Source organism: Homo sapiens, chromosome 8 (genome assembly GCF_000001405.40).
Source record: "Homo sapiens chromosome 8, GRCh38.p14 Primary Assembly".
Taxonomy (NCBI): Eukaryota; Metazoa; Chordata; class Mammalia; order Primates; family Hominidae; genus Homo; species Homo sapiens.
Genome location: NC_000008.11, coordinates 143060252 through 143084507, shown reverse-complemented (window position 1 = coordinate 143084507; position 24256 = coordinate 143060252). Strand labels below are relative to the sequence as shown.

Sequence of the window (24256 nt, the reverse complement as noted above, 5' to 3'; positions counted from 1 at the left end):
AAAATCGACAGATTGGGCTTGGTGGCTCAACCTGTTTCTTTTGGGCTCAAAGGATCTGCCAGCCTCAGGCTCCCAAAGTGTAATCCCAGCACTTTGGGAGCCTGAGGCAGGCAGATTCCTTGAGTCCAAGGGTTTGAGATGAGCCTGGGCAACATAGGAAGACCCTGTCTGTATTTAAAAACAAACAAACAAACAAACTCAAGAAGAACATAAAAAATGAAGAAAGCATCTGACCAGACACCTCACCAAAGATCCGCTGCTGGCAAGTAAGCAGACAGAACGAGGCTCTGGGAACAGGGAATTGCAAATGAACACACCTACGAGACACCAGCACCACTTTTTAAGTGACTGAAATCCAGAACACTGACAATATCAGTTTCTGGCTGGGATGCAGAGCGACGGGCACTCCCCGTCATTGCCGGTGAGGGTGCAAAATGGTGCGGCTGCCGTGGAAGACAGGTGTGAAGTTTCTTACACAGCTACACAGAGGCTTCTTGGCAGCTCCGGCAATTGTGTTCCGTGGCATTTAAACAGAGGGGTTGAAGGCTGATGTCCACATAAGAACCTGAACGTGGACGTTTACCGTAGCTTCATTCATAATTGCCAATGCTTGGAAGCAACAAGATGTCTTTTGATAGGTGAGTGGTTAAACAAATAGTGCTGCATGAAGATGGTGGAATATTGTTCAGGGATAAAAAGAGATAAGGTAACAAGCCATGAGAAGACATGAGATGGAGTCTCACTGTGTCACCCAGGCTAGAGTGAGGTGGCGTGATCTTGGCCCACTGCAACTTCCGCCTCCCAGGTTCAAGCGATTCTCCTGCCTCAGCCTCCCAAGTAGCTAGCTGGGATTACAGGTGCCCGACAGGCTGCAGGGACAGTCCTTATCCTCAACCTCCCAGCTGGAAGGTTTTTTGCAGATCTGGCTGCTCCAGTGGTCACCGGTACCCACCCTCAGAGCCCTTTGTTGAGGGCTGGGCAGGGCGGGTGGACGGGGAGGAGAAGGAAGGAATGAGCACCATGGGGGCATGAGAGTTTATTGTCTCCAAGAGGGTGAAGGTCGTGGTCCCAATGCACAGGTGGGGGCACCCACAGTGTTATCCTTCCTGGGTTTCCCTTGGGCAGAGGGGGCTGGAAATGGGAAGGCAGAGTGGGAGCCCCAGCTGTGGCCGCACCCAGGTTCTTCTGCCCCTCGAAGGGTCCTGGACAGCATTCAGGGCAAGGGGCCTCATGCAAGGGGCCATCGCCCACCAGAGACACTGTCTTTCCCACCACCAACACCAGAGGCACCGTCCTTCCCCATCACCCAACACCGGAGGCACCATCCTTCCCCATTGCCCATCAGAGGCACCATCCTTCCCATCACCCACACTGGAGGCACCATTCTTCCCGTCACCCACACCGGAGGTACCGTCCTTCCCATCACCCACACCGGAGGCACCGTCCTTCTCATCACCCACACCAGAGGCACCGTCCTTCCCATCACCCACACCAGAGGCACCGTCCATCCCATCACCCACACCAGAGGCACCGTCCTTCCCATCACCCACACCAGAGGCACCGTCCTTCCCATCACCCACATCAGAGGCACCGTCCTTCCCATCACCCACATCAGAGGCACTGTCCTTCCCCAGGAGGAGCAGTTGCTGAATCCTTGGGGTTCTCCAGCAAAGGGGCCCCCGGTGGGGAGGAGTGAGGTGGCTAGATCCGGGATGGAGGCAATGGCACCCTCCCCACCACCTCAGAGAGGGAGGGTCCCCCCCCAGTGTCCTGGAAGGGGCGGAGGCAGGATGGCAGTTGGAGGCAGGAGACGGGATGGGCCAGCAGGGCCAGGAGGGGGCGTAAAGGGAGGGCCCTCACAACAGGGCCCTGAGGAGGCTGAGGCCCACCTGGAGCAGGAGCCCCCCTCGCAGGGCCCAGCGCCCCTCCTGTGGGGTCAGTGCCCTGTTGCAGAGAGCCCAGGAACAGCAGCGCCTGGTGATCACGCCTTGCACCATGGGGGCCGGCGACCATTCGAACTTCATGTTGTCGTTGGGACATCTGGGAGCACAGCGTTTGCTGAGCAGGACGCGTACACTCCATTCTGCAGAAAAGAGGAGAGGCAGGTGGCCCCAGAGCCCCAGCAAGGAGGTATCCACAGTTATGCGGAAAGTGCAAGGATGCTTTCCAAAGGAGCAGCCGGGACCAGAAAGAGCTAGAGCACGTAACCTGGCCCTGCGAGGACAGCCAAGAGACCACCTTCTCCTGTCCTTTACTGGGTGAGGCGCTGCAGAGCTGGGGATCCTGGCTGCCCAGGCCACCTCCGCCCGCGGCACAGCAAATACAGACTCCAGGGCAACTGGCTGTAAGGGGCCTTCTCCCGAAGCCATGCACAGCCTGGACCACCCCTGCCGGCCCCGGGGCATGTGCGTCGTCGGGAGATGGGGTGACTCAGAGCAGTGGAAAGGGGCTGCCCATCACGGAGAACCTGCTGGGCTGGGTGCCCAGCCCTGGGCTCGTTTCTCTGTACTGCTCACTTAAAGACATGGCAGAGACTTTCTGACGGACGTGTCTGTCAACAACCATGGAACCCCTGAAGAGATGCACAGCATCAAAACCCAAACTGTTGAGAAAAGAGCTTGGGTGGAATCAATCGCCCTTATGTGTCATAGAGTGTTACGGTGTGTTGTGTTGCATTCTATTTTATTATATTATGTTGTATTATGTAGCATTATATTACATCGTATTATATTAAGTTGCAATATACACGTTATATTCATTATGTTGTGTTATACTATATGACATTGTCATACACTGTATCGATTCCAGTGCAGCCTGCCTGATGCTGGGTTGTATGGCAGGTGTACTGTGCTGTGCCAGGAAGGGCAGATAACCCATCGCCTCGAACAGCTGCCCATCCCCACCCGTGTGTTCCTGCTGTCTTTGTAAATTCAGTGACATCAGAGCCTTTGTCCTGCTGACAGTTCCTAGTGACACTTCAAATGGAGGAGAAAAAAGTCAAAATTCACACTCTGGGATGCTCGCCCGAGCCCAGCGCGGGAGAGACAGCAGGAGGCACTTTCGGACCCACAGGGCCCCAGGCCCTGGAGCGCCGAGGACTCATAGCTAAGTCGCTGAGAGGCGGGGGCACCGGCCCTTCCCCGGCACCTGGCACCTGCCCTCTGCCCGGGGGGGACTCACTAAAAGAGACGACCACCTCGTTGGAGATGCAGACTTGGTCCAGCGGGCTGCACCAGGTGGGCGGGCACTCCGTCCAGCTGCTGACCTTGAAGCACTGGTAGCAGCTCAGGTTGCGAGCTGTGGGCAGCAAGCGGGGCGCTGTGGACCAGCGTCCGCAGCTCCAGCCCCGACGCCCCCAGCCCAGCCCGGGCCGCGCCTTACCTGGCGTCGTGGCGCAGCCAGCAGACGCCACAGCCAGCGGGAGGGTGCACAGGGTTAGGACGAGCCTCTCCATGACGCCAGAAGGCTCAGCCTGAGTGGGGTGAGGTGGGTGTTGCGGGAGGCTTCACCCAGAGAGCCCCCTCCCCAGCTTCCTGCTCCCGGACGGGGCTTTACTCAGGGCGCACCCCCCATCCCACACTAGCCTCCTGCGCTCCCGGACGCGGCTTCACCCAGGACGTCCCCCACCTCCAGCCTCCTGCGCTCCTGGACTGGGCTTCACCGAGGGCAACCCCCACCCCCAGGCTCCTGCTCCCGACGCTCGCTCTCCTCCCTTCCCCGCATTCCCTCTCCCTGGGCCCTCTGCCTTTGGTCCCCCTTCCAATCTCTCTTTCTAAACCCTCGGAGCCCGTTCTCGCCCGACCCTCATCCCAGCCCCCGGCCCACAGTCCGGACCCCTCTCCCAGCACCTTCTCTCCTGCCGGGCTGCAGGGATCTGCGTCCTGGAGGAGGAGTCAGCCCTGGGACCGAGGGGGCGGGACCGGCCAGCCCCTCCTCGGGGCTCTTGTACTGGGGCGGCTCCGGGGTCCCCGAGGGCCTCAGCGTCTGCCTGCAGCGGCCTCCTGCGGAAAATAGCCCGAGGCCGGGGAGGAGGGGGTCAACCCCAATCACGGATCCCAGCCTCCGCGCCTTGGGGAACGTGGGGCCAGATTTGGTTCCTGACTCAGGGACCCACGGAGGCTGAAGGAGACCCAGAGGGCCCTGAGCACCTCAAAGGGCGCGGAGGGCGGGACGACCCTTTCCCTGGGGTGGGGCAGGAGTGGTCTGGATTTGGAAGCAGACGGGGGAGGGAAGAGGCTTCAAAGCGGAGGAGGAGGGAGAGGGAGGAGGCGGAGTAGGGACCCTGGGGCGCAGGTGAGGTTTGGACAACCTGAGATGGAACAGGAGCCGGCCAGGCAGATCCAGGAAGGAGCATAGTTAAGGGCAAATGAGGTTGGCGGGGATGGTTAGGCCACAGGCACATAATCTTCGTTCTTTCTAGAGTGCTTGGAGCGCTTTCCCCTGGCAGGGGTGGCCTGGGAGGAGGGGAGAAGGGAGGAGAAGGGCAGGCGCCTCCAGGGGCCCCTCAGGCTGGCTCAGTTGCCCAGAGGAAAGCAGGGCGTGCTCCCATAGCCTTACAGGAGCCTGGAGCTGCCGCAGGGGTTGGGAGCTGCAGCTCCAGGACTCCTGCCAAATTTCTGGGACCTGCAGGGGGCTGAGTCCCGGCCTTTGAAGACTGGTGCCCTGGAAAAACGGCTCCTGTGCAGGCTGCCTCCCAGCTCTGTCCTCCCACACTTCGTCCTCCCACAGGTGAGGCTGGGGCCCAGCCGGGTCTGTCGAGTGCTAAAGCGTCCCTGGGCCCGTTGGAGGCTGTGGTTCCAATTTCTTTTGCAGCATCTGCTCGGCCCCATGTAGGTCCTGGATGCAGAGTGTGAGGCCGCCCCCGTCATAGCATAGACCTGCGCCCTCCTCACTAGACTCATCTGCCTCCTACACTGAGTCTTCCCTTGGTCCTATTCTTTATTCTGTTTTTTCCCCGGGAGCCAAGGGAGTTGACCCGTGTTCTCACTGGGCCGCTGGAACCCAACAGCATGGACATCCCGGTTGGTGGGCACCCAGCTCTCCCCTCCGGAGGTACTGTCACACCCTCTCCCGCCTCACCGGGGGCACAGGGCCCTGCCAGACCCAGGTGATGTCAGGAAATGCTGTCCTCAGTCTGGAGGACCACCGAGCCACTTTCCTCCTCGGAGCCCTTCCCTCCAGCCCAGGTGGTCACACAGCTTTCACCCCGTGTCAGGTTTGCTCTTTTCTGCTTCCTGCCTTCATTTCCTGAATGACATCCTTTTGAGCATGTATGATGACAAGCAGGGCTGGACCCTGGGTCTGCAGCAGTGAACCGGCCCAGTCACCTGCCCTCAGGGGTCTTGCAGGAGGTAGGTCTCGGAAAGAAGAAAGGGGTAACTGCTACCCATAAGGTGGTTGGGAAGGGCTGCCCCTGGCCCCAGCGTGACTGCTGCCCACCACCTCCAGGGCCTCCGCATCCTCTCCCGCACTGCAGACCAGCAAGCCCCTCCCCTGCTGTGGCCTTTCCAGTAACGGCTGCTGGGAGAGAAAGTGCCAGTCGGAGAGTGAGTGTGCAGCCAGGTGGGGCCATTTCCCCTGCGTCCACATAGTGGCCCACCCAGCAGGACTGTCCCGTTCCTGTTTCCCCTGGTGCATGCTCTAGGGATGCCCCAGACGGGCCCTGCCCTCTGACCCCTGCCTGTCCGGGCTCAGCGTCCTCTGCTCCCTTTGTCCTCTGATGCTCCAGCCCTTTCTGCCGCCCAGCCTGTGTGTGGATCAGGGCTGTTTTGGGGGTGGGCTTAGAGGGCACGGGATGGAAGTTGTTTGGAGGGGAGGGGCCATATGCAATTTGTTTATCATGTGCATTTTTTCATTTGCCATTCTCACTGTGATTGATTTGAATGAATTTGGCACTGTGAAATCTGCAGAGTCAAAAATCAAAAAGAAAAATCAAAAGAACATCGGCATTGGAGGCACATGCAATAAAGGAGTCCAGGTGGTAGTTGGAGGTTGGAGGCTGGAAGGAACACACAGGTCTCAAAGGAAGTGGCTGAGGGATCTGCAGAGACTCATCTGAGCCTGTGGCTGATGACAGGGTGTTGGGGCAGCCACGGCCGAGAGGGCCGTGCTCGGAGCCACACAGCTTTCAGTGCTCACGAGAAGGGACTGGCCCTCCCCAGGGCTGACCAAGTTCCTCAGTACTGCATCCAGCTGTGCTCCTGGCCTCATTTCTTCTCTCCTTCATGAATTAACTCCCAGACACAGCAGCCCCTGGAGGTGGTGGGGACTAACCAGGGACGGGAAAGGGTCAGTCAGCCTGTGGTCAGCAGGGTGGGCGGGTGCAGGCCTGGTGTTCCCAGGATACTTTGCTGGGTCATGCAGTTATCCCCATCACGTATCACTCCAGCTCCCTGGCGGGCACAGCCTGTGGCTGTTCCTGGAGGCACCCCTGGAATGAGTACAGTTCATGGACAGGCTTCAAAACAGCCCAGAGCAAAGATTTGGGTCTGAGGGCGGGGGCATGGCTCTGCGGTCTTCGCCTCCACGGTTCCCTGACTTGGTCCTGCAGTTGCCCAGGAGAGGCAAGGCCACCTCCTTGTTAAGGGCTTGCTTGTTCCTGGTGGTCTCTGTCAGGAGCCCCCACCCCGCTGGCCCCAGACTCCAACACCTGTCCAGGTGTGTGAGCCAGTGTACATCTGGCAGCAGAGAGGCCTGTACGAGCACAGCCCACAGGCCCCAGTGACGTTTGTCAAGTGTTTATTCTATCAACATTCTTCATTTCTGGCCTGATTTCAATCCTAGGAGGTGGGTACAATAAGTCCAATTCTAAAAATAATAAAATGGAACAGAGACCTGAGGAGTTGGCTTCATGATGGGGGATCAATGTCCCAATTTTAGCACCAAAGTCCTGCGACCTGGGAAGCCCTCGGTGCTGGGCAAACCAGGATGGTTGTTGCCCTGATTCAGGATCACCCAGGTAATAGGTAGAGGGCTGAATTCAAGCCCGGCTCAGCCGCATGGAGCCTCGGCCTGCACTCTGCACTGCTTCTGAGCGGTGCTGGGAGCAGCGCTGTCCAAGGAGCCCGGGTCATAAAACCCAGCTGGTGAATAGGAACCATGTTTGTATGTTCTAGAAGATGAAAGAATAGAATTGAATTGAATAATAAAGATCAGAGTACATTATGCACAATTAGGACACATATATTTTAATGAAGAAAGTAATTTAAATAAAAATGTGTTTTATTTATGCTTATATATTTTTGCTTGTGTATATATGTGTGTATATAATGTTTTAGATATACAAATATATGTGTTATAAGTATGTTTGGTATTTTATTTCATATTTTATATTTATGTTTTATGTTGTAAATATGTTTATCGGTTATAAATCTATGTGAATATGTTACGTAAATGTTATGTGTGTCAGTGTTTTGGGTGTGGATATATTTATTAACTTTTTAAAGTGTAGATCTCAATCAGGAAAATGTGCAAGCTTCCTGTTTAGATGAAGTGGATGACCTTCCTTCCTGCCCTTATTGTATTCACTGTCAGAGAGCTGGGTGCCAGCAAGCTGCTGTGTGGGTATGTGCGCCAACCCCGGTGTAGGCACGGACGGAAACACACTGTGGAATTTTTCCAGTGAAGGGGATCTTGGCGTGATGTCCAGAGGCCTCCCCGAGTGGTGTCCTGAATGAGTCCCACAGTCTCCATCCCTGTGCTCTTGCTATGGACTGCCAGGCTGAATTGTTGACACTGAAGATCATCGTGCTCCCGCTACACTTATACCTCTGACCCTTTTTCCTTCTCACCTTGGCTGTTGGGAAGCTCAGATCGTAACCATTTGCCCCAGGCACACGTGTAGGGCCTGGCCAGTTTCTTGCTCGCCCCTCCTGGCTCTGCCCAGGTCATAACTTGCTTGCCTTTCTCCTCCCCTTGCCATGTGGAACCCTGGTTTGAGTGTCTGATTCTTAGGGCTGTGGAGCTTTAGCCCTTTTGACTCTACATAGTTTTGGTGACTTGGCTTCTTTCACACTCCAGTTCCTGGCCCTGCCTTGGGGGCTCCATGCACAGCTCTCCCTGGGAACAGGTCTTCTCCTTGCCCTGTCTTAATCTGGGGATAGGTGTCTGGGCGTCCCCAGCGAGACCCCTCTCTGCTGCTGACAGGGCTCCCAGGAGGAACAACAGTGGCACCCCAGAGAGGTGTGGGGGTGCTGAGAGAATTGGGTCAGCAGTGGGGGCCTCACACTCTGGCCCCTCACTCCCTGTGCCTGAGCAATTCATCAGGTGCTGTCTTTCTTAGACGGACAGCTGTGTGCAATTGTGTTCTGTTTCTGACTTTGGGTTTAGTGACATCAGTAAGCCTGAATGGTCTCCCCGGCGCACAATCCTTCTGGTTCACAAAATCAGTCAAACACACAGGCACCAGGGAGCTCTTGAACCAGAGAGTCCGGTACTTTCATTTTGTCCTAAAGGTACAGATTGTTATCATTTTCATTTTTTTTCAAGGCAACAGTGAGCAAGGATTTTGTTATCATTTTCAAACTGACACATTTACCACACTGACAATATTCTCTGACCCAGCACAGACGTTCATAACAAAAGCATCAGTGACATAGTTACACATGTTAAAACATTGAAAACCACTATTCTAATAAACCACAGTTAAAGAAGAAGTCATATTGGAAATTAAAATACCTAGAAATGATTAAAACTAAGATACTACTATCAAAACTATTGGGCTGCAGTAAAAGCTGTACCTGAGAAAAATCTAACCCTATATATTTGCATTGGGAAATAAGAAAGGTTAAATTCTTTTTTTCTCTGAGATTGAGTCTTGTTCTGTTGCCCAGGCTGGAGTGCAGTGACGTGATCTTGGCTCACTGCAACTTCTGTCTCCCGGGCTCAAGTGATTCTCCTGTCTCAGCTTCCTAAGTAGCTGGGAGTACAGTTGTGCACCACCACGCCTGGCTACTTTTTGTATTTTTAGTAGAGATGGGGTTTCATCATGTTGCCCAGGCTCGTCTTGAACCCCTGACCTCAGATGATCCACCCTCCTCGGCCTCCCAAGGTGCTGGGATTACAGGCGTGAGCCACCGTGCCTGGCCTTATTTTTGAATTAATAATGTTCTCAGCCATTAGAGTGATATTTGGTGAGTAGGAGGGAGACTTTTTTCTTAGGTGATCAATGCTGGAGTTATTAGGGGGAAACTGGTGGGAAGCCTGAAGTTAGCAAGCTCAGGGTCCAACCTCCACATTTCAAAACTCAACTGAAGAAAAGAGACAGGACTGAGAATGCCTATTAACAAAACAGAAAAATCAGCACAGCCATGGCTGTGTGTTTGAAGGAACAAAAATTAGACAAATATCTGGCAAGACTGAATAAGGAAAAAAGATCCACAGATGAATAATGTAAATGAAAAAAATGAGTCATAATGACAAATAACTCCCAGATTTTGTAATGCAAAAAGACAAGATTTTCACGTCCAGTTAGCATGAGGAAAGAGTGTGAAGCCAACCTTTCTATTTCAACAATGAGAAAAAATGGAATTATGTACAAAAATTATCATTTCTTTCAAATGCATTGGAAAATGGTGGGTGCAAATCTGAAGGAACTGCCAGTCTTGGGGGGCCCCTTTCTCGCAGTGGAGCTGAATGGTGCTGAGGGCGGGTTAGTCATCGGCAGAGCTCTACCTGCGGGGAGAGACTGATGTTTCTTGGTTCTTTTGCATATAATTTCTAGCACACTACCAAAAATTATAAGAATTACAGGAGAGTGTGATTTTCAACCAAGAGATAAGCTATTCAATAGAAGCAGATGCACAGATAACCCAGATGAAAGAATTAGCAGACAAATGCTTTACAATATTCTTGTAAATACATGAAATGAGATGGAGGAAAGGATGAACAAAATGGATGAAAAGATGGAGAATTTCAACAGAGAGATGAAAGCTATGAAAGTAGGTGCTCATTATTTGTTATTAAAAATAAAATAAATAATAAAAATAAGTGTTTATTATATTAACCAATTAATATAATACCTGAAATTAAGAACTCATTGGATGGGCTTAAGAGCAGACTAAACATATAGTAGCAAAAAGGATTGATGAAGTTTCAGACAGGTCCATAGAAATTATCCAAAATAAAGCACAGAGAAAAGATAGAATTAAAAGTACACAAACACACACACCCACATACACACATGCACAGAGAGAGACAGAGACAGAGAGAAGAGGGCCATATGGTACTGATCCAACTGTCTAACATGTGTATTGGAATCCCAGGAGAAGGGTGAGAATGGGATAGGAGCAATATTATTTTGATGGATAATAGCCAATTTTCCAAAATTGGTAAGAGACATTAACCCAAGATTCAATAGGCTTATCAAACTCCATGAAGTATAAAACTGGAGAAAACCATATTTAGTCACATCATAATCAAACTGCTGAAACTAAAGGAAAAGAGAAAAATGTTAGCTGCAGCCAGGAGAAAAAAACACCTTAGCACTAGAGAACCCCGGGGACGACGGCTGTCTCCTCAAACAGGGACCCCGGGGACGACGGCTGTCTCCTCAAACAGGGACCCCGGGGACGACGGCTGTCTCCTCAAACAGGGACCACGAGGATGATGGCTGTCTCCTCAAACAGGAACCCCGGGGACGATGGCTGTCTCCTCAAACAGGGACCCCGGGGACGACGGCTGTCTCCTCAAACAGGGACCCCGGGGACGACGGCTGTCTCCTCAAACAGGGACCCCGGGGACGATGGCTGTCTCCTCAAACAGGAATCCCGAGGACGACGGCTGTCTCCTCAAACAGGAGCCCTGGGGACAACGGCTGTCTCCTCGAACAGGAACCCCGAGGATGATGGCTGTCTTCTCAAACAGGAGCCCCGGGGATGACGGCTGTCTCCTCAAACAGGGACCATGAGGATGATGGCTGTCTTCTCAAACAGGAGCCCCGAGGACGACGGCTGTCTCCTCAAACAGGGACCCCGAGGACGATGGCTGTCTTCTCAAACAGGAGCCCCGGGGACGACGGCTGTCTCCTCAAACAGGAGCCCCGGGGACGACGGCTGTCTCCTCAAACAGGAACCCCGAGGACGACGGCTGTCTCCTCAAACAGGGACCCCGAGGATGATGGCTGTCTTCTCAAACAGGAGCCCCGGGGATGACGGCTGTCTCCTCAAACAGGAACCCCGAGGATGACGGCTGTCTCCTCGAACAGGAGCCCCGGGGACGACGGCTGTCTCCTCGAACAGGGACCCCGAGGACGACAGCTGTCTCCTCAAACAGGGACCCCAAGAATGACGGCTGTCTCCTCAAACAGGAACCCCGAGGACGACGGCTGTCTCCTCAAACAGGAACCCCGGGGACGACGGCTGTCTCCTCAAACAGGAACCCCGAGGACGACGGCTGTCTCCTCAAACAGGAACCCCGGGGACGACGGCTGTCTCCTCAAACAGGGACCCCGAGGACGACGGCTGTCTCCTCAAACAGGGACCCCGGGGACGACGGCTGTCTCCTCAAACAGGGACCCCGGGGACGACGGCTGTCTCCTCAAACAGGAACCCCGAGGACGACGGCTGTCTCCTCAAACAGGAACCCCGGGGATGACGGCTGTCTCCTCAAACAGGGACCCCGGGGACGACGGCTGTCTCCTCAAACAGGGACCACGAGGACGACGGCTGTCTCCTCAAACAGGAATCCCGAGGACGACGGCTGTCTCCTCAAACAGGGACCCCGGGGACGACGGCTGTCTCCTCAAACAGGAACCCCGAGGACGACGGCTGTCTCCTCAAACAGGAATCCCGAGGACGACGACTGTCTCCTCAAACAGGGACCCCGGGGACGACGGCTGTCTCCTCAAACAGGGACCCCGAGGACGACGGCTGTCTCCTCAAACAGGAACCCCGAGGACGACGGCTGTCTCCTCAAACAGGAACCCCGAGGACGACGGCTGTCTCCTCAAACAGGGACCACGAGGACGACGGCTGTCTCCTCAAACAGGAATCCCGAGGACGACGGCTGTCTCCTCAAACAGGGACCCCGGGGAGGACGGCTGTCTCCTCAAACAGGAATCCCGAGGACGACGGCTGTCTCCTCAAACAGGGACCACGAGGACGACGGCTGTCTCCTCAAAGAGGAATCCCGAGGACGACGGCTGTCTCCTCAAACAGGAACCCCGAGGACGACGGCTGTCTTCTCTAACAGGAGCCCCGGGGACGACGGCTGTCTCCTCAAACAGGAACCCCGGGGACGACGGCTGTCTCCTCAAACAGGGACCCCGAGGACGACGGCTGTCTCCTCAAACAGGAACCCCCAGAATGACGGCTGTCTTCTCAAACAGGAACTTCGGAAGCCAGAAGCAGACACTGGTAAGAAATCAAATTACCAACTTGGATTCTGATACTATTTAAAATTTCCCTCACAAATGAGGGCAAAATAAAGGCATTTTTTCAGATAAATAAAAGCTGAGAGGAATTGCTGCCAACTGCAATGTCAGGAGGAAGCATGGGGGTGCCACATTCTTTTCAGAGGGTAAATGTGAAGGGAGGTTGTGTTAGATGGTGTGTTGACTTTGGGGTGGATGGTGCTGGATTTTCTGTTGTAACCTTGAACCCAGCACACCCTCTTCTGAAGAACCACCAGACTCCCTCCCGTGTGGCTCTGAATTAGAGTTTTCTAAGGGAAACTCCCGTAGATCTTGGAAGATTAAGTGGAGACCCTCCTTTCCTGGGGTCGCTGAAGCCGGGCACGTGCGTAGACGGGAACCTCACAGACGTCCTCCTGCGAGCTTGTGGGGATGCTGTTTGCTGTAGAGAGTGACAGTGGGTGGAAGCTGTTTGGGGACCTTGGGGATTGCAGCGGCTTCCAGGAAAACTTATTTATTTATCAATAGACTCTATTTCTTTGAGCAGTTTTGGCTTTATAGAAAATCGAGAAGATAGTACAGAGGGTTCCCGTGTATCCTGCCCTGTCTCACATTTCTCCTATTAATCACACTTTGCATTCATGTGGTACAATGGATAAACCGATATTGATACGTGGTTATTAACACAAGTTTATAGCTTACACCAGGGCTCACTCTTTGTGTTGTATATTCTGCGGGTTTTGACAAATCCATAACATCATGCGTCCACCATTACAATGTTGCAGAATCGTTTCAGGGCCTTAAAAATCCCCTTGCTCCACCCACTCATCCCTCCCCTCTATCCCATAGCCCTCTGACCACAGCTGCCAGGAGAACGTTTGAGACCTCTTCTTGGGTGCTTTAAGCTGACATGTCCACCATCAAGTCTTCTCACTGTGGGGACAGCTTCCCCAACATCCATGCTGCCGGGTCTTCCGCCAGCCATGCCGCCTCCTGAGTCTGTATTCCATGCCGGGTCTTCCGCCAGCCATGCCGCCTCCTGAGTCTGTATTCCATGCCGGGTCTTCCGCCAGCCATGCCGCCTCCTGAGTCTATATTCCACCCTTTATTCCATCACATGTAAAAACAAGTGACCTTCCTTTCCCCACCACACGTAAAAACAAGTGACCTTCCTTTCCCCACCACACTCTGATCAATACGATCTCTTTCTGGGTGAAAGTGTGTGCTCTGGGAAGCCAGCCAGTCCTGTTAGAATACTGTGTAACATAAATACTAAGTCTGTTAATTTACAACATCAGTCCCTGTATAAAATAATAGGGTAGAGGAGGAGTGAGAGAAGAAATGAAATAATACATAAAAACATAGGGCAACTGCGGCCGGGCACGGTGGCTCACGCCTGTAATCCCAGCACTTTGGGAGGCCGAGGCGAGTGGATCACGAGGTCGGGAGTTCGAGAACAGCCTGGCCAACATGGTGAAACCCCATCTCTACTAAAGATAAAATAATTAGCTGGGTGTGGTGACATGCGCCTGTAATCCCAGCTACCCAGGAGGCTGGAGCAGGAGAATCACTTGAACCCAGGAGGCAGAGGTCGCAGTGAGCTGAGATCATGCCACTACACTCCAGCCTGGGCGACAGGGCGAGAATCCATCTCAAAAAAAAAAAAAAATATATATATATATTTATATATATATTATATATATATATATATACAATATATATATAATATATATATAAATATATATACATAAATAAAAAATATATATAAATATATATATATTTATATATATATATCAGCTGGAGAAAGCCCATGGGCACTTGTTATGGCTGAACTGTGCCCCCCTCAAATTCACATGTTGAGCCCTCACTCCCGCTACCTCAGAATGTGATAGCATTTGAAAATAGGGTCCTTAAAGAGGTGATTACGGTAGAATGGGGTCATTAGGGTGGGCCCTAGTCCAGCATGCCTGGTGTCCTTATAAGAGGAGGTGAGGACACAGACACACACAGAGGGGCAACCGTGACAGAATGCAGGGAGCAGATGCCATCTGCATGCCAAGGAGAGGTGCCCCAGGGGGAGCCAGCCCTGCTGACACCTTGATCTCTGATCTCCAGCCTCCAGGACAGCGACAGAATCCATTCCTGTAGCTTAAGCCCCCAGTTGTGGTGTTCGTTATGGCGGCAGGAGCTGACTAGTGCACTGCCGGACCCTAATGCCTGGGGCTTCCCACGACGCTGGGTGCGGCCGCTGTAACATCCCCTGTCCCCTGTTCATTCACGTGTATTTTGTCCTCAGGAAAGGGCTCTTTACTGGTGGGCTTGTAGACGCCACAGGTTCAGGTGTTCTCTGCTTGCGGAGTCTGATTAACAAGAGCAGGGGCCGGTAGAAAGCAAGAGACTTCATTAGCCAAGACTAGTGAAAGGAAGTAGCTGGATTCTGACCCAGAGCAACCACTTCAAATGTGGGGGGAAAGGCAAAGGTTCACAAATGGAAAGCTGGATATGGAAGGCATGCAGGAATCGTGCTGAGCACAGCGCCTGTGTGTCCCGTCCTGGTGGCTGTCTTGGGTCCCAGTTCACCTGGAGCACGGGCTGGCATCATCGCAACTATGGCCGGGCTGTTAATTACCCGCTTTGAAGTCATCTCTGGAATTTTGCGGCTGGGTCCCCAGGCTTGGCCTGTCTGTCTCAAGATTAGCCTGCGGCACTTCTAAGAAGGCACATAATTAGATACTAATGGACAGAGAACTTTGAGAGAGTATTTACGGTGAGAAAGGGAGGGATGAGGAGTGTATTTCAAGGCTAAGGGAAAAGGCTTCTGCAGTTTGCTTCAAGGTTATATCTTGAAACCCAAGAGAAAGGAAACAAGTTTAAAAATGCATTTTGAAGACCAGCCACTCAGTTACAGGGTGACTAAGCCCTCACTGCGGAAGCGTCTGGACTTTCCGCAGCCTTGTCTCTTTCTAGGGGCTCTGGTTCCCATTAACTTTTTCCCTTGGATGTGGGAGACGTAAGAGATGAGAGAGAGCCTTGAGCCCAGAGACAATTCCCCACACCCCATGGGAGCGGGGCCAGCTCGCTTCCTTGGTGAGTTGAAAACAGCCCCAGCTAGGATGGCACAGCCCCTTGCTTTGCCTATTGACTCAGAGGCAGGAACTCAGAACCACCATGGGTCAACTTTCGTTTCCAACTCCCAGGACCCTTGGGGTCCCCCTGGGGCGGTGCGGGGAGCATTTCTCCCTGGGACATAAGATCTCAGACCCAGCCCAGCTCACTCCTGCAGTGACAGGATAAACAATTCTGGGAGTGGCACTGCAGAAGAGCTTGGATTTTATCTTAAGCATGGTAGTTTTCTAGGAAGTTATTAGTCAATCTGGAGCGAGATATTCTCAGAAAAAAAAAAAGAAATTATTAGTCAAGTGCCCTTTTGTTGGCATAAATCACCATAACAACCACTATAAATATATAATTACTGTTCTCCAAGGGAACTGAGACAAGAAAATTTTGACTCTTGCCTGTTGTGATAGTCTGTTCTTTTGTTGTTGTAAAGAAATACCTAAGACTGGGCAAATTACAAAGAAGAGGTTTAATTGGCTCTTGGTATTGCAGGCTGTACAGGAAGCACAGTGCTGGCATCTGCTTGGCTTCTCGGGAGGCCTCAGGAAGTTTCCAATCATAGCAGAAGGCAAAGGGGAAGCAGGTTGTGGGGAAAAGAAAGACAGATCAGATTGTTACTGTGTCTACATAGAAAAGGAAGACATAAGAAACTCCATTTTGATCTGTACTAGGAAAAATTGTTCTGCTTTGAGGTGCTGTTAATCTGTAACTTTAGCCCCAACTCTGTGCTCACAGAAACATATGCTCTATTGAATCAAGGTTTAAGGGATTTAGGGCTGTGCAGAATGTGCCTTGTTAACAATTTGTTGGCAGGCAGTATGCTTGGTAAAAGTCATCGCCATTCTCCATTCTCTATTAACCAGGGACACAATGCACTGCGGAAAGCCGCAGGGACCTCTGCCCAAGAAAGCCTGCGTATTGACCAAGGTTTCCCCCCACTGAGACAGCCTGAGATATGGCCTTGTGGGAAAGGAAAGACCTTACATCCCCCAGCCCAACACCCGTGAAGGGTCTGTGCTGAGGAGGAGTAGTGAAAGAGGGAGGCCTCTTTGCAGTTGAGATAAGAGGAAGGTTTCTGTCTCCGGCTTGTCCCTGGAAATGGAATGCCTCAGTGTAAAGCTGACCGTTAGTTCTATTCTGAGATGGGAGAAAACTGCCCTGTGGCTGGAGGCGAGATATGCTGGCAGCAATACTGCTCGGTTACTCTTTGCTACACTGAGATGTTTGTGTAAAGTGAAACATAAATCTAGCCTACGTGCACATCCAGGCACAGTACCTTCCCTTGAACTTATTCATGATACAGATTCCTTTGCTCACATGTTTCCCTGCTGACCTTCTCCCCACCATCACCCTGTTGTCCTGCCACACTCCCCTCGCCAAGATAGTAAAAATAGTGATCAATAAATCCTGAGGGAGCTCAGAGACCAGCGCCGACGCGGGTCCTCGCATGTTAAGTGCCGGTCTCCTGGGCCCACTGTTCTTTCTCTATACTTTGTCTCTGTGTCTTATTTCTTTTCTCAGTCTCTTATCTCCACCTGACGAGAAATACTCACAGGTGTGGAGGGGCAGGGGTCCCTGTGGCTTTCTGCAGTGCATTGTGTCCCTGGTTAATAGAGAATGGAGAATGGCAATGACTTTTACCAAGCACACTGCCTGCAAACATGTTAACAAGGCATACCCTGCACAGCCCTAAATCCATTAAACCTTGATTCAATACAGCACATGTTTCTGTGAGCACAGGGTTGGGGCTAAAGTTACAGATTAACAGCATCTCAAAGCAGAACAATTTTTCTTAGTAGAGATCAAAATGGAGTTTCTTATGTCTTCCTTTTCTACGTAGACACAGTAACAATCTGATCTCTCTTTCTTTTCCCCACAGCAGGTATCTCACATAACAAGAGTGGAGAAAGGGGTAGGAGGCACCTCACTCTTTTAAACAATTACATCTCACATGAACTCAGAGCGAGAACTCACTCACTATCATGAGGATGGCGCCAACACGTTCATGAGGGACCCACCCCAACGATCCAAACACCACCCACCAGGCCCACCTCCACCACTGGGGATTACACTTCCAGAGATTTCTGAAATGCCTTTGAGGCCTTTTCCCCATGATATTTGGAAGAGATAGACATCTAAACCATATCATTCCACCCTGGGCTTCCCGAATCTCATGTCCTTCTCACATTGCAAAGTAAGATCGTCCCTTCTCAGTAGTTCCCCAAAGTCTTAACTCGTCCCAGCATCAACACAACCAAAAGCCTGCAGTCCCAGGTTCAAAGTCTCATCTGGAAATGAGTTCTTTCCACCTATGAGCCTTTGAACTCAAAGACAAGTTATTTATTTCCAAGATACAATGGGGATGCAGGCATTGGGTAAACATTCCCATTCCAAAAGGGAGAAATTGGCCAAAAGAAAGGAACAACTGTCCTCTTTCCGGTCTATGCCTCCAAGATGACAAAGAAAAGAAGGAACAATGGTCATGCCAAAAAGGGCCACAGCCATGTGCAGCCGATTCGCTGCACGAATGGTGCCTGATGTGTGGCCAAGGACAAGGCCATTAAGAAATTCATCATTTGAGGCTGGGCGCAGTGGCTCACACCTGTAATCCCAGCACTTTGGGAGACCAAGGTGGGTGGATCACCTGAGGTCATGAGTTCCAGACCAGCCTGGCCAACATGGCAAAACCCCGTCTCTACTAAAAATACAAAAAATAGCCGGTGTGATGGTGGGTGCCTGTAATCCCAGCTACTCAGGAGGCATGAGAATCGCTTGAACCTGGGAGGCGGAGGTTGTAGTGAGCTGAGATTGCGCCTCTGCACTCCAGCCTGAGTGATAGAGTGAGACCCCATCTTGAAAGAAAAGAAAAGAAAAGAAAAGAAAAGAAAAGAAATTCATCATTGGAAACATCATGGAGGCCGCAGCAGTCAGGGACATTTCCGAAGCGAGTGTCTTCGATGCCTATGTGCTTCCCAAGCTGTATGTGAAGCTACTTTCTTGTGTAGGTTGTGCAATGCACAGCAAGGTAGTCAGGAATGGATCTCATGAAGCCCACAAGGACCGAACACCCCCGCCTCGATTTAGACCTGTGGGTGCTGCCCCACGACCGCCACCAAAGCCCACGTGAGGAACTGAGTCCTTAAAGACTGAAGACAGACTATTCTCGGGAGGAAAACAAAATAGATATCGTACAAGAAAGAAAGAAAGAAGGAAGGAAGGAAAGAAAGAAAGAAAGAAAGAAAGAAAGAAAGAAAGAAAAAGAAAGAAAGAGAAAAGAAAGAAAGAAAGAAAGAAAGAGAAAGAAAGAGAAAGAAAGGGACAACCGGCCACACACAAGTCCTGCGCCCGGCATGGGAGTCATTAAGTCTTCCGGCTCCAGTACAGGCAATACTGCGTCTCTCCCTACACAGTCATCTAGGGAGGAGAATTCTGTCAGATTGGAAGCACTTTGGTTATCCACCCATGACCAAAAAAAAAAAAATATTCTATTGCAACACAGCTTGGCCAATGTTTGTTTGAGGGTCTGAGAAATGATGGCCAGTTTTTGGATCTTCGAAATTTCATACATTTATCCATTAAAACTGTTCTGCCAGAGGTCAGGCAAAGGGGGCAGAACACCTTGCATGCTGGCATGTATGTGGCTGCATAACGAGGATGCTGAAGAAAAGGGAAATGAGCTCATGGTGTGAGGCACTGCTAAGGTCTGTCCTGTTCCCCAGGGGAGGAAGAGAAAACCTCCCAAACCTGACAGTAAGTACCCTAAACCCCATAGTGTCTCCTGCCCCACCTCAGAAAAGAGAGGGAATGTCACCCCCAGAGTACAGGGAAGCAGCAGGGCTTCTGTCTTCCTCTCAGATTAGGCAAGGTACTAATTTTGGCTGAGGAGTCACAGAGTCCAGAGCAGGGCACTGCATAGTGTTCCCACGATGACAACATCCATCAGCAAGAAGCTCCAGCCCAAAATGATTGGGCCTGTAATCCCTGCTCCACCTCGGACTTGTTACATTGGAAGAACTCTAACCCTCCCTACAGACAGGGAGGATCCCTGAAAGATGGCTGAATTATTTACCACTATTTGCTGCACACCATCTCACCTGGGCAGACGAGCAGGCTCTCTGGGACATTATGCTCACTGCAGATGAGCTATGGCTGGTTTTAAATGAAGCAAAGGAAGAGGCACAGCACCTTCATGATGAAAATCCAGACGACACTCCAGATCCCGACTGGAGCAATTCCCCGCACGGACCCAAACTGGGATGTTGTAGAGGACATACATTCCACTGTAGCTAACCTGTATACTATGTCTGCTTCTCTTCCTGGAGATCATAAATGGTTTGCAGTACTGGATTTAAAAGAAGTTTTCTTTTGCATACCCACAGACACAGAAAGCCAATTGTTGGTCACCTTTGAATAGACAGGTCCTAAAGCCACACACAAGTTCAGTATCATTGGATTGTGCTCCCACCAGGATTTCAAAGCTCTCCAACTATATTTGGAGTAGCCTTGGCTCAAGATTTGAGGAGCTTGCAATCGAAAAACTGGGTATATTTACAATATGTGGATGATTTACTAATATCTAGCCCCTCTGAATGGGGCTATCAGAATAACACCATTAAAACCCTAAACCATCTAGCAACCTGTGGATATAAGGTTTCAAGTAAAAAGGCTCAAATATGCCAACAAACTGTGAAATATTTAGGTTTTCTCTATAGAAGGGAAACAGAGCTCTAACAGTGGAAGGGCGAAATGCAACTGCTTCCATCTCAGCCACCGCTACCTGAAGGCAGCTAAAAGGATTTCTAGGCATAACAGGGTTTTGTTAATCTGGATTCCTAACTATGAACTACTGGTAAAGCCGCTAGACAAACTGTTGAAGGGAGCTAACAATGGCCCCTTCGACTGTGAACAAAACATCAGCATGCATGTGAATAACTGAAACCTAAGTTAACCTCTGCCCTAGCCCTGGGGCTCCCAAATTCTCACAAGCCCTTTCATGAGCCCTGTACATGCCTGAGAGACTGGGTCTAACACTAGGGGTCCTTACACAGAAATTAGGAAGAATATTGCAGCCAGTGGCTTACTGGATGCTGTGGCCAAAGGCTGGCTCCTTGTGTAAGGGCAGTTGCTGCCACTGCCTGCTGTTAAAGGAAGCTGAAAAGTTGGTTTGGGGACAGCGCATCATGATCCATGAGCCTCACCAGGTGCAGGTGTTACTGGAACAGAAGGGAGGCTACTGGCTGACAGCGGACAGGCTGAGCAAATGCCAGGCCACACTCCCAGATGACCCTGCAGTAAAAGTGCAGACTGCTGGAGTCTTAAACCCAGAAACTGTACTTCCCGCTACTGAAGAGCCTAAAGAACCTATGCACAATCACTTAGAAATTATTGACCAGGTGTTTTCCAGTTGCCCTAATTTAAAGGACACAGCCCTGCCACATGCAGACTGGACATTGTTTGTGGATGGGAGCAACCTGGTAACCAACAGAAAAAGAAATGCTGCATATGCCTTGGTAACTGTTTCCGAGGTAACAGAAGCGAGGACTTTACCAATAGGAACCTCTGCACAGGAGGCAGAACTGATTGCCCTTACGAGAGCCCTGCAGTTGTCCCAAGTACTCAGGGCACTTGGAGTAAATTGGGAGCTGCATTCAGCATGGAGACCGCAATCCTCTGGACTGATGGAAAGGAAAAATCAAACCGTTAAAACAGTTCTTGCCAAACGGTGTCAGGAAACTCAACTGAAATGGATTTAGGGCTTTGGCCTTGCACTGCTCTGGGTAAGAGTGACCCCCAGAAGTGGGATCAGGTTAAGTCCCTATGAAATTATATATGGGAGACCCTTTGCTGCTAGTCTGTCTCAGGTTACTGGGGTGCCTCTCAGTAGAAAGCCAACTATTAAACATACTCAAGTGGGACAAATCCTTCATGTTTTGCATAAGCTTGCTCCAAACAGGAGCCTGTGAACTCGGCAGAACTTGTCCAGATTTTCCAGCCTGGTGATCAAGTGCTGCTAAAAAATGGAGGGGACAGGCCCAACTCAGCAGCTGTCTGTCCCCTTTGCCAATACCAAGCTGTCATAACAATGGAAAGTTTCAGAAAATCTTGACACGTGATTCATAAGCCCTTGTTCTTCTCCAAGGTTGCCCTGGCTATTCTAAAACTTTAGTATTTCCAGATAAATTACAGACTCAGCAGGCGAATTTTGACATCATCATCATCATCATCATCATCATTCCTGATACCCTTTTGATCAGGATTGCATCAAATCTGTACATCAATTTAAAAGTATTAACTCTTCCAACAGATGCCTTTGTATGTCCTTCCTTATATAGATCTCCATTTTTTTCTCATGTGTATTTTTATTTCTTTGAGATGGAGTCTCACTCTGTCACCCAGGCTGGAATGCAATGGTGCGATCTTGGCTCACTGTAACATCCGCCTCCCAGGTTCAATGATTTTCCTGCCTTAGCTTCCCGAGTAGCTGGGATTACAGGTGCCCACCATCACTCCCAGCTAATTTTTTGTGTATTTAGTACTCCTGGTCAACAGGATTTCGCCATGTTGACCAGGCTGGTCTTGAACTCCTGACCTCATGATCCACCCGCCTTGGCCTCCCAGAGTGCTGGGATTACAGGCGTGAGCTACCACGCCCGGCCTCTTGTGTATTTTCTTGGTTTTTCAGGGTAGAGGTCTTCTGCATCTCTTGTTAGGTTTCATTTTGAACATTCTATTGGTTTTGATGATAATATAAATGATACTGTCTTTAACATTTCACTTTACCTTGTCAGTCTATAGAATATATTTGATTTTTGTACCTTGACCTTCAGAACCCTGTTAAATTTATGTATATTTTGTTTGCAAATTATTTTGGTTTCTCCCCATATGCAAATATATCATTTGCAAATAATGACAGTTTCATTTCCTTTCTAATCATATCTTTTTCTTGCCATATTGCATTTATTTCTTTCCAACCTTTATATGTTTTATTTCTAATTATAGATTAATTGCCTGGCTGAGCATGGGACACATTTGATAAATGTTCTACATTCACTTAAAGAAATGTGGATTCTCCAGGTGTTTGGTACAGCATTCCATGTATGTTCAGTATGTGAATATTTATAATCTTGTATAAATTCATGTATTCTAATTTTTGTCCGCTTGTTCTATCAGTTACTTAAAGATTCGTATTGAAATACCTGGCCAGGTGTGGTGACTCACACCTGTAATCCCAGCACTTTGAGAGGCCAAGGTGGGCACATCACCTGAGGTCAGGAGTTCAAGACCAGCCTTGACCAACATGGAGAAAACCCATCTCACTAAATATACAAAATTAGCTGGGCATGGTGGCACATGCCTGTGATCCCAGCTATTTGGGAGGCTGAGGCAGGAGAATTACTTGAACCCGGGAGGTGGAGTTTGCAGTGAGCCAAGATCGCACCATTGCACTCTAGTCTGGGCAACAGGAGCAAAACTCCCTCTCAAAAACCAACAAACAAAATAAAAAACACCAAACCAACCAACCAACCAACCAACCAACCAAACAAACAAACCTAAGTGTGATTGTGGATTTGCCTTGATTTTCAGCTTTGTCCTATTGTGGTTAAATGTTTTGAAGCTATTTTATTAGATATGTACAAATGTAGGATTAAAATATTGTCGTGTTGTGTTGACCCTTTTATCACTATAAATATCCTTTTATTTCAGCTGCATTTCCTGCCTAATACTATCAGCATGATGTATCTTTTCCCATTCTTTTCATTCAGTGATTTTTTTTTTTTTTAAGAGACAGGGGTTTGCTATGTTGCCCAGGCTTGTCTTGAACTCTTGGGCTCAAGAGATCCTCTGACCTCAGCCCCTCAAAGTGCTGGGATTACAGACGTGAGCCACCATGTCTGGCCTGTGTCCTTCCTTTTAAAATGAGCACTGTGACCAGTCTATTGTTATCTTTATTTGGCCTAAAACTTTTTGTCTATAAATTAGAATAAGTTCATTTACATTTAATGTGAGAACTAATATAATTGGGTTAAAACCTTCCATTTCACTGTTTGCTTTTATTTTTCCTATCTTTCTTTTCCTTTACGGTATTCTTTTGGATTTGTTAAATATTTCTCGTATTTTCTTTTGTTATATTCTTAGATATATTTTACGTGATTCATCAGTGGTTATTTTAGACATTACAATATGCATCTTTGACTTACTATAGTCCATCTTAAGTTGGTTACTGTCTCATTATAGGGTCCAGCCCTACAGGACCTGTGGGTTTTTCTCCTCGTGTGTGGAGATGAGAGATCGTAGAAATAAAGACACAAGACAAAGAGATAGAAGAAAAGACAGCTGGGCCCTGGGGACCACTACCACCAAGGCGTGGAGACCGGTAGTGACCCTGAATGCCTGGCCGTGCCGTTATTTATTGTATATAAGGCAAGAGGGCAGGGTAAGGAGTGTGAGTCATCTCCAATGATAGGTAAGGTCACACAAGTCATGTGTCCACCAGACAGGGGGCCCTTCCCTATTTGGTAGCCGAGGCGGAGAGAGAGAGGGGACAGCTTACGTCATTATTTCTTCTATGTAGTTCTGGAGAGATCAAAGACGTTAATACTTTCACTAATTCTGCTACTGCTATCTAGAAGGCGGAGCCAGGTGTACAGGGCGGAACATGAAAGTGGATCAGGAGCGTGACCACTGAAGCACAGCATCACAGGGAGACGTTTAGGCCTCCAGATAACTGCGGGCGGGCTTGACTGATGTCAGGCCCTCCACAAGAGGTGCTGGAGCAGAGTCTTCTCTAAC

General features: G+C 50.2%; 2 protein-coding genes and 1 pseudogene across 5 annotated transcripts in view; 2 read left to right on the top strand and 1 right to left on the bottom strand.

Annotated features, from left to right (window-relative positions):
- Positions 1-1021: 1021 nt before the first annotated feature.
- Positions 1022-3878, bottom strand: LY6L (lymphocyte antigen 6 family member L). Its single transcript, NM_001368160.2, has 4 exons — positions 3849-3878; positions 3382-3472; positions 3181-3297; positions 1022-2083 (listed from the first exon to the last, which is right to left on the bottom strand). Exons 2-4 carry the CDS (start codon positions 3452-3454, stop codon positions 1857-1859), a joined length of 417 nt encoding a protein of 138 aa, NP_001355089.1. The 5' UTR covers positions 3455-3472; positions 3849-3878; the 3' UTR covers positions 1022-1856.
- Positions 3879-8036: 4158 nt separating this feature from the next.
- The window catches only part of LY6S (lymphocyte antigen 6 family member S), a 35633-nt gene continuing 19413 nt past the window's right edge, over positions 8037-24256 (top strand). Inside the window, exons 1-2 of one of the 4 annotated variants that reach the window (XM_054328425.1) lie at positions 8037-12353; positions 22466-22613. In XM_054328425.1, the coding sequence (XP_054184400.1) occupies positions 11147-12353; positions 22466-22470 (1212 nt within the window). In that variant the 5' untranslated portion in view covers positions 8037-11146 and the 3' untranslated portion in view covers positions 22471-22613. Of the gene's footprint in view, positions 12354-13198; positions 13446-21055; positions 21244-22465; positions 22614-24256 lie in introns of those variants that run through there. The other 3 variants (XM_054328424.1, XR_008485574.1, XR_008485573.1) reach the window with 3 other exon arrangements.
- Positions 18354-18658, top strand: RPS26P36 (ribosomal protein S26 pseudogene 36; annotated as a pseudogene).

What these genes read in the sequence shown, in the direction of transcription:
- LY6L (NM_001368160.2), bottom strand. Translation starts at nt 3,454, where the DNA reads ATGGAGAGGCTCGTCCTAACCCTGTGCACCCTCCCGCTGGCTGTGGCG. An exon ending in TGGCTGCGCCACGACGCCAG is followed by an intron (nt 3,298 to 3,381) that starts GTAAGGCGCGGC and finishes TGCTGCCCACAG; the next exon opens with CTCGCAACCTGAGCTGCTAC. An exon ending in CGAGGTGGTCGTCTCTTTTA is followed by an intron (nt 2,084 to 3,180) that starts GTGAGTCCCCCC and finishes TCTTTTCTGCAG; the next exon opens with AATGGAGTGTACGCGTCCTG.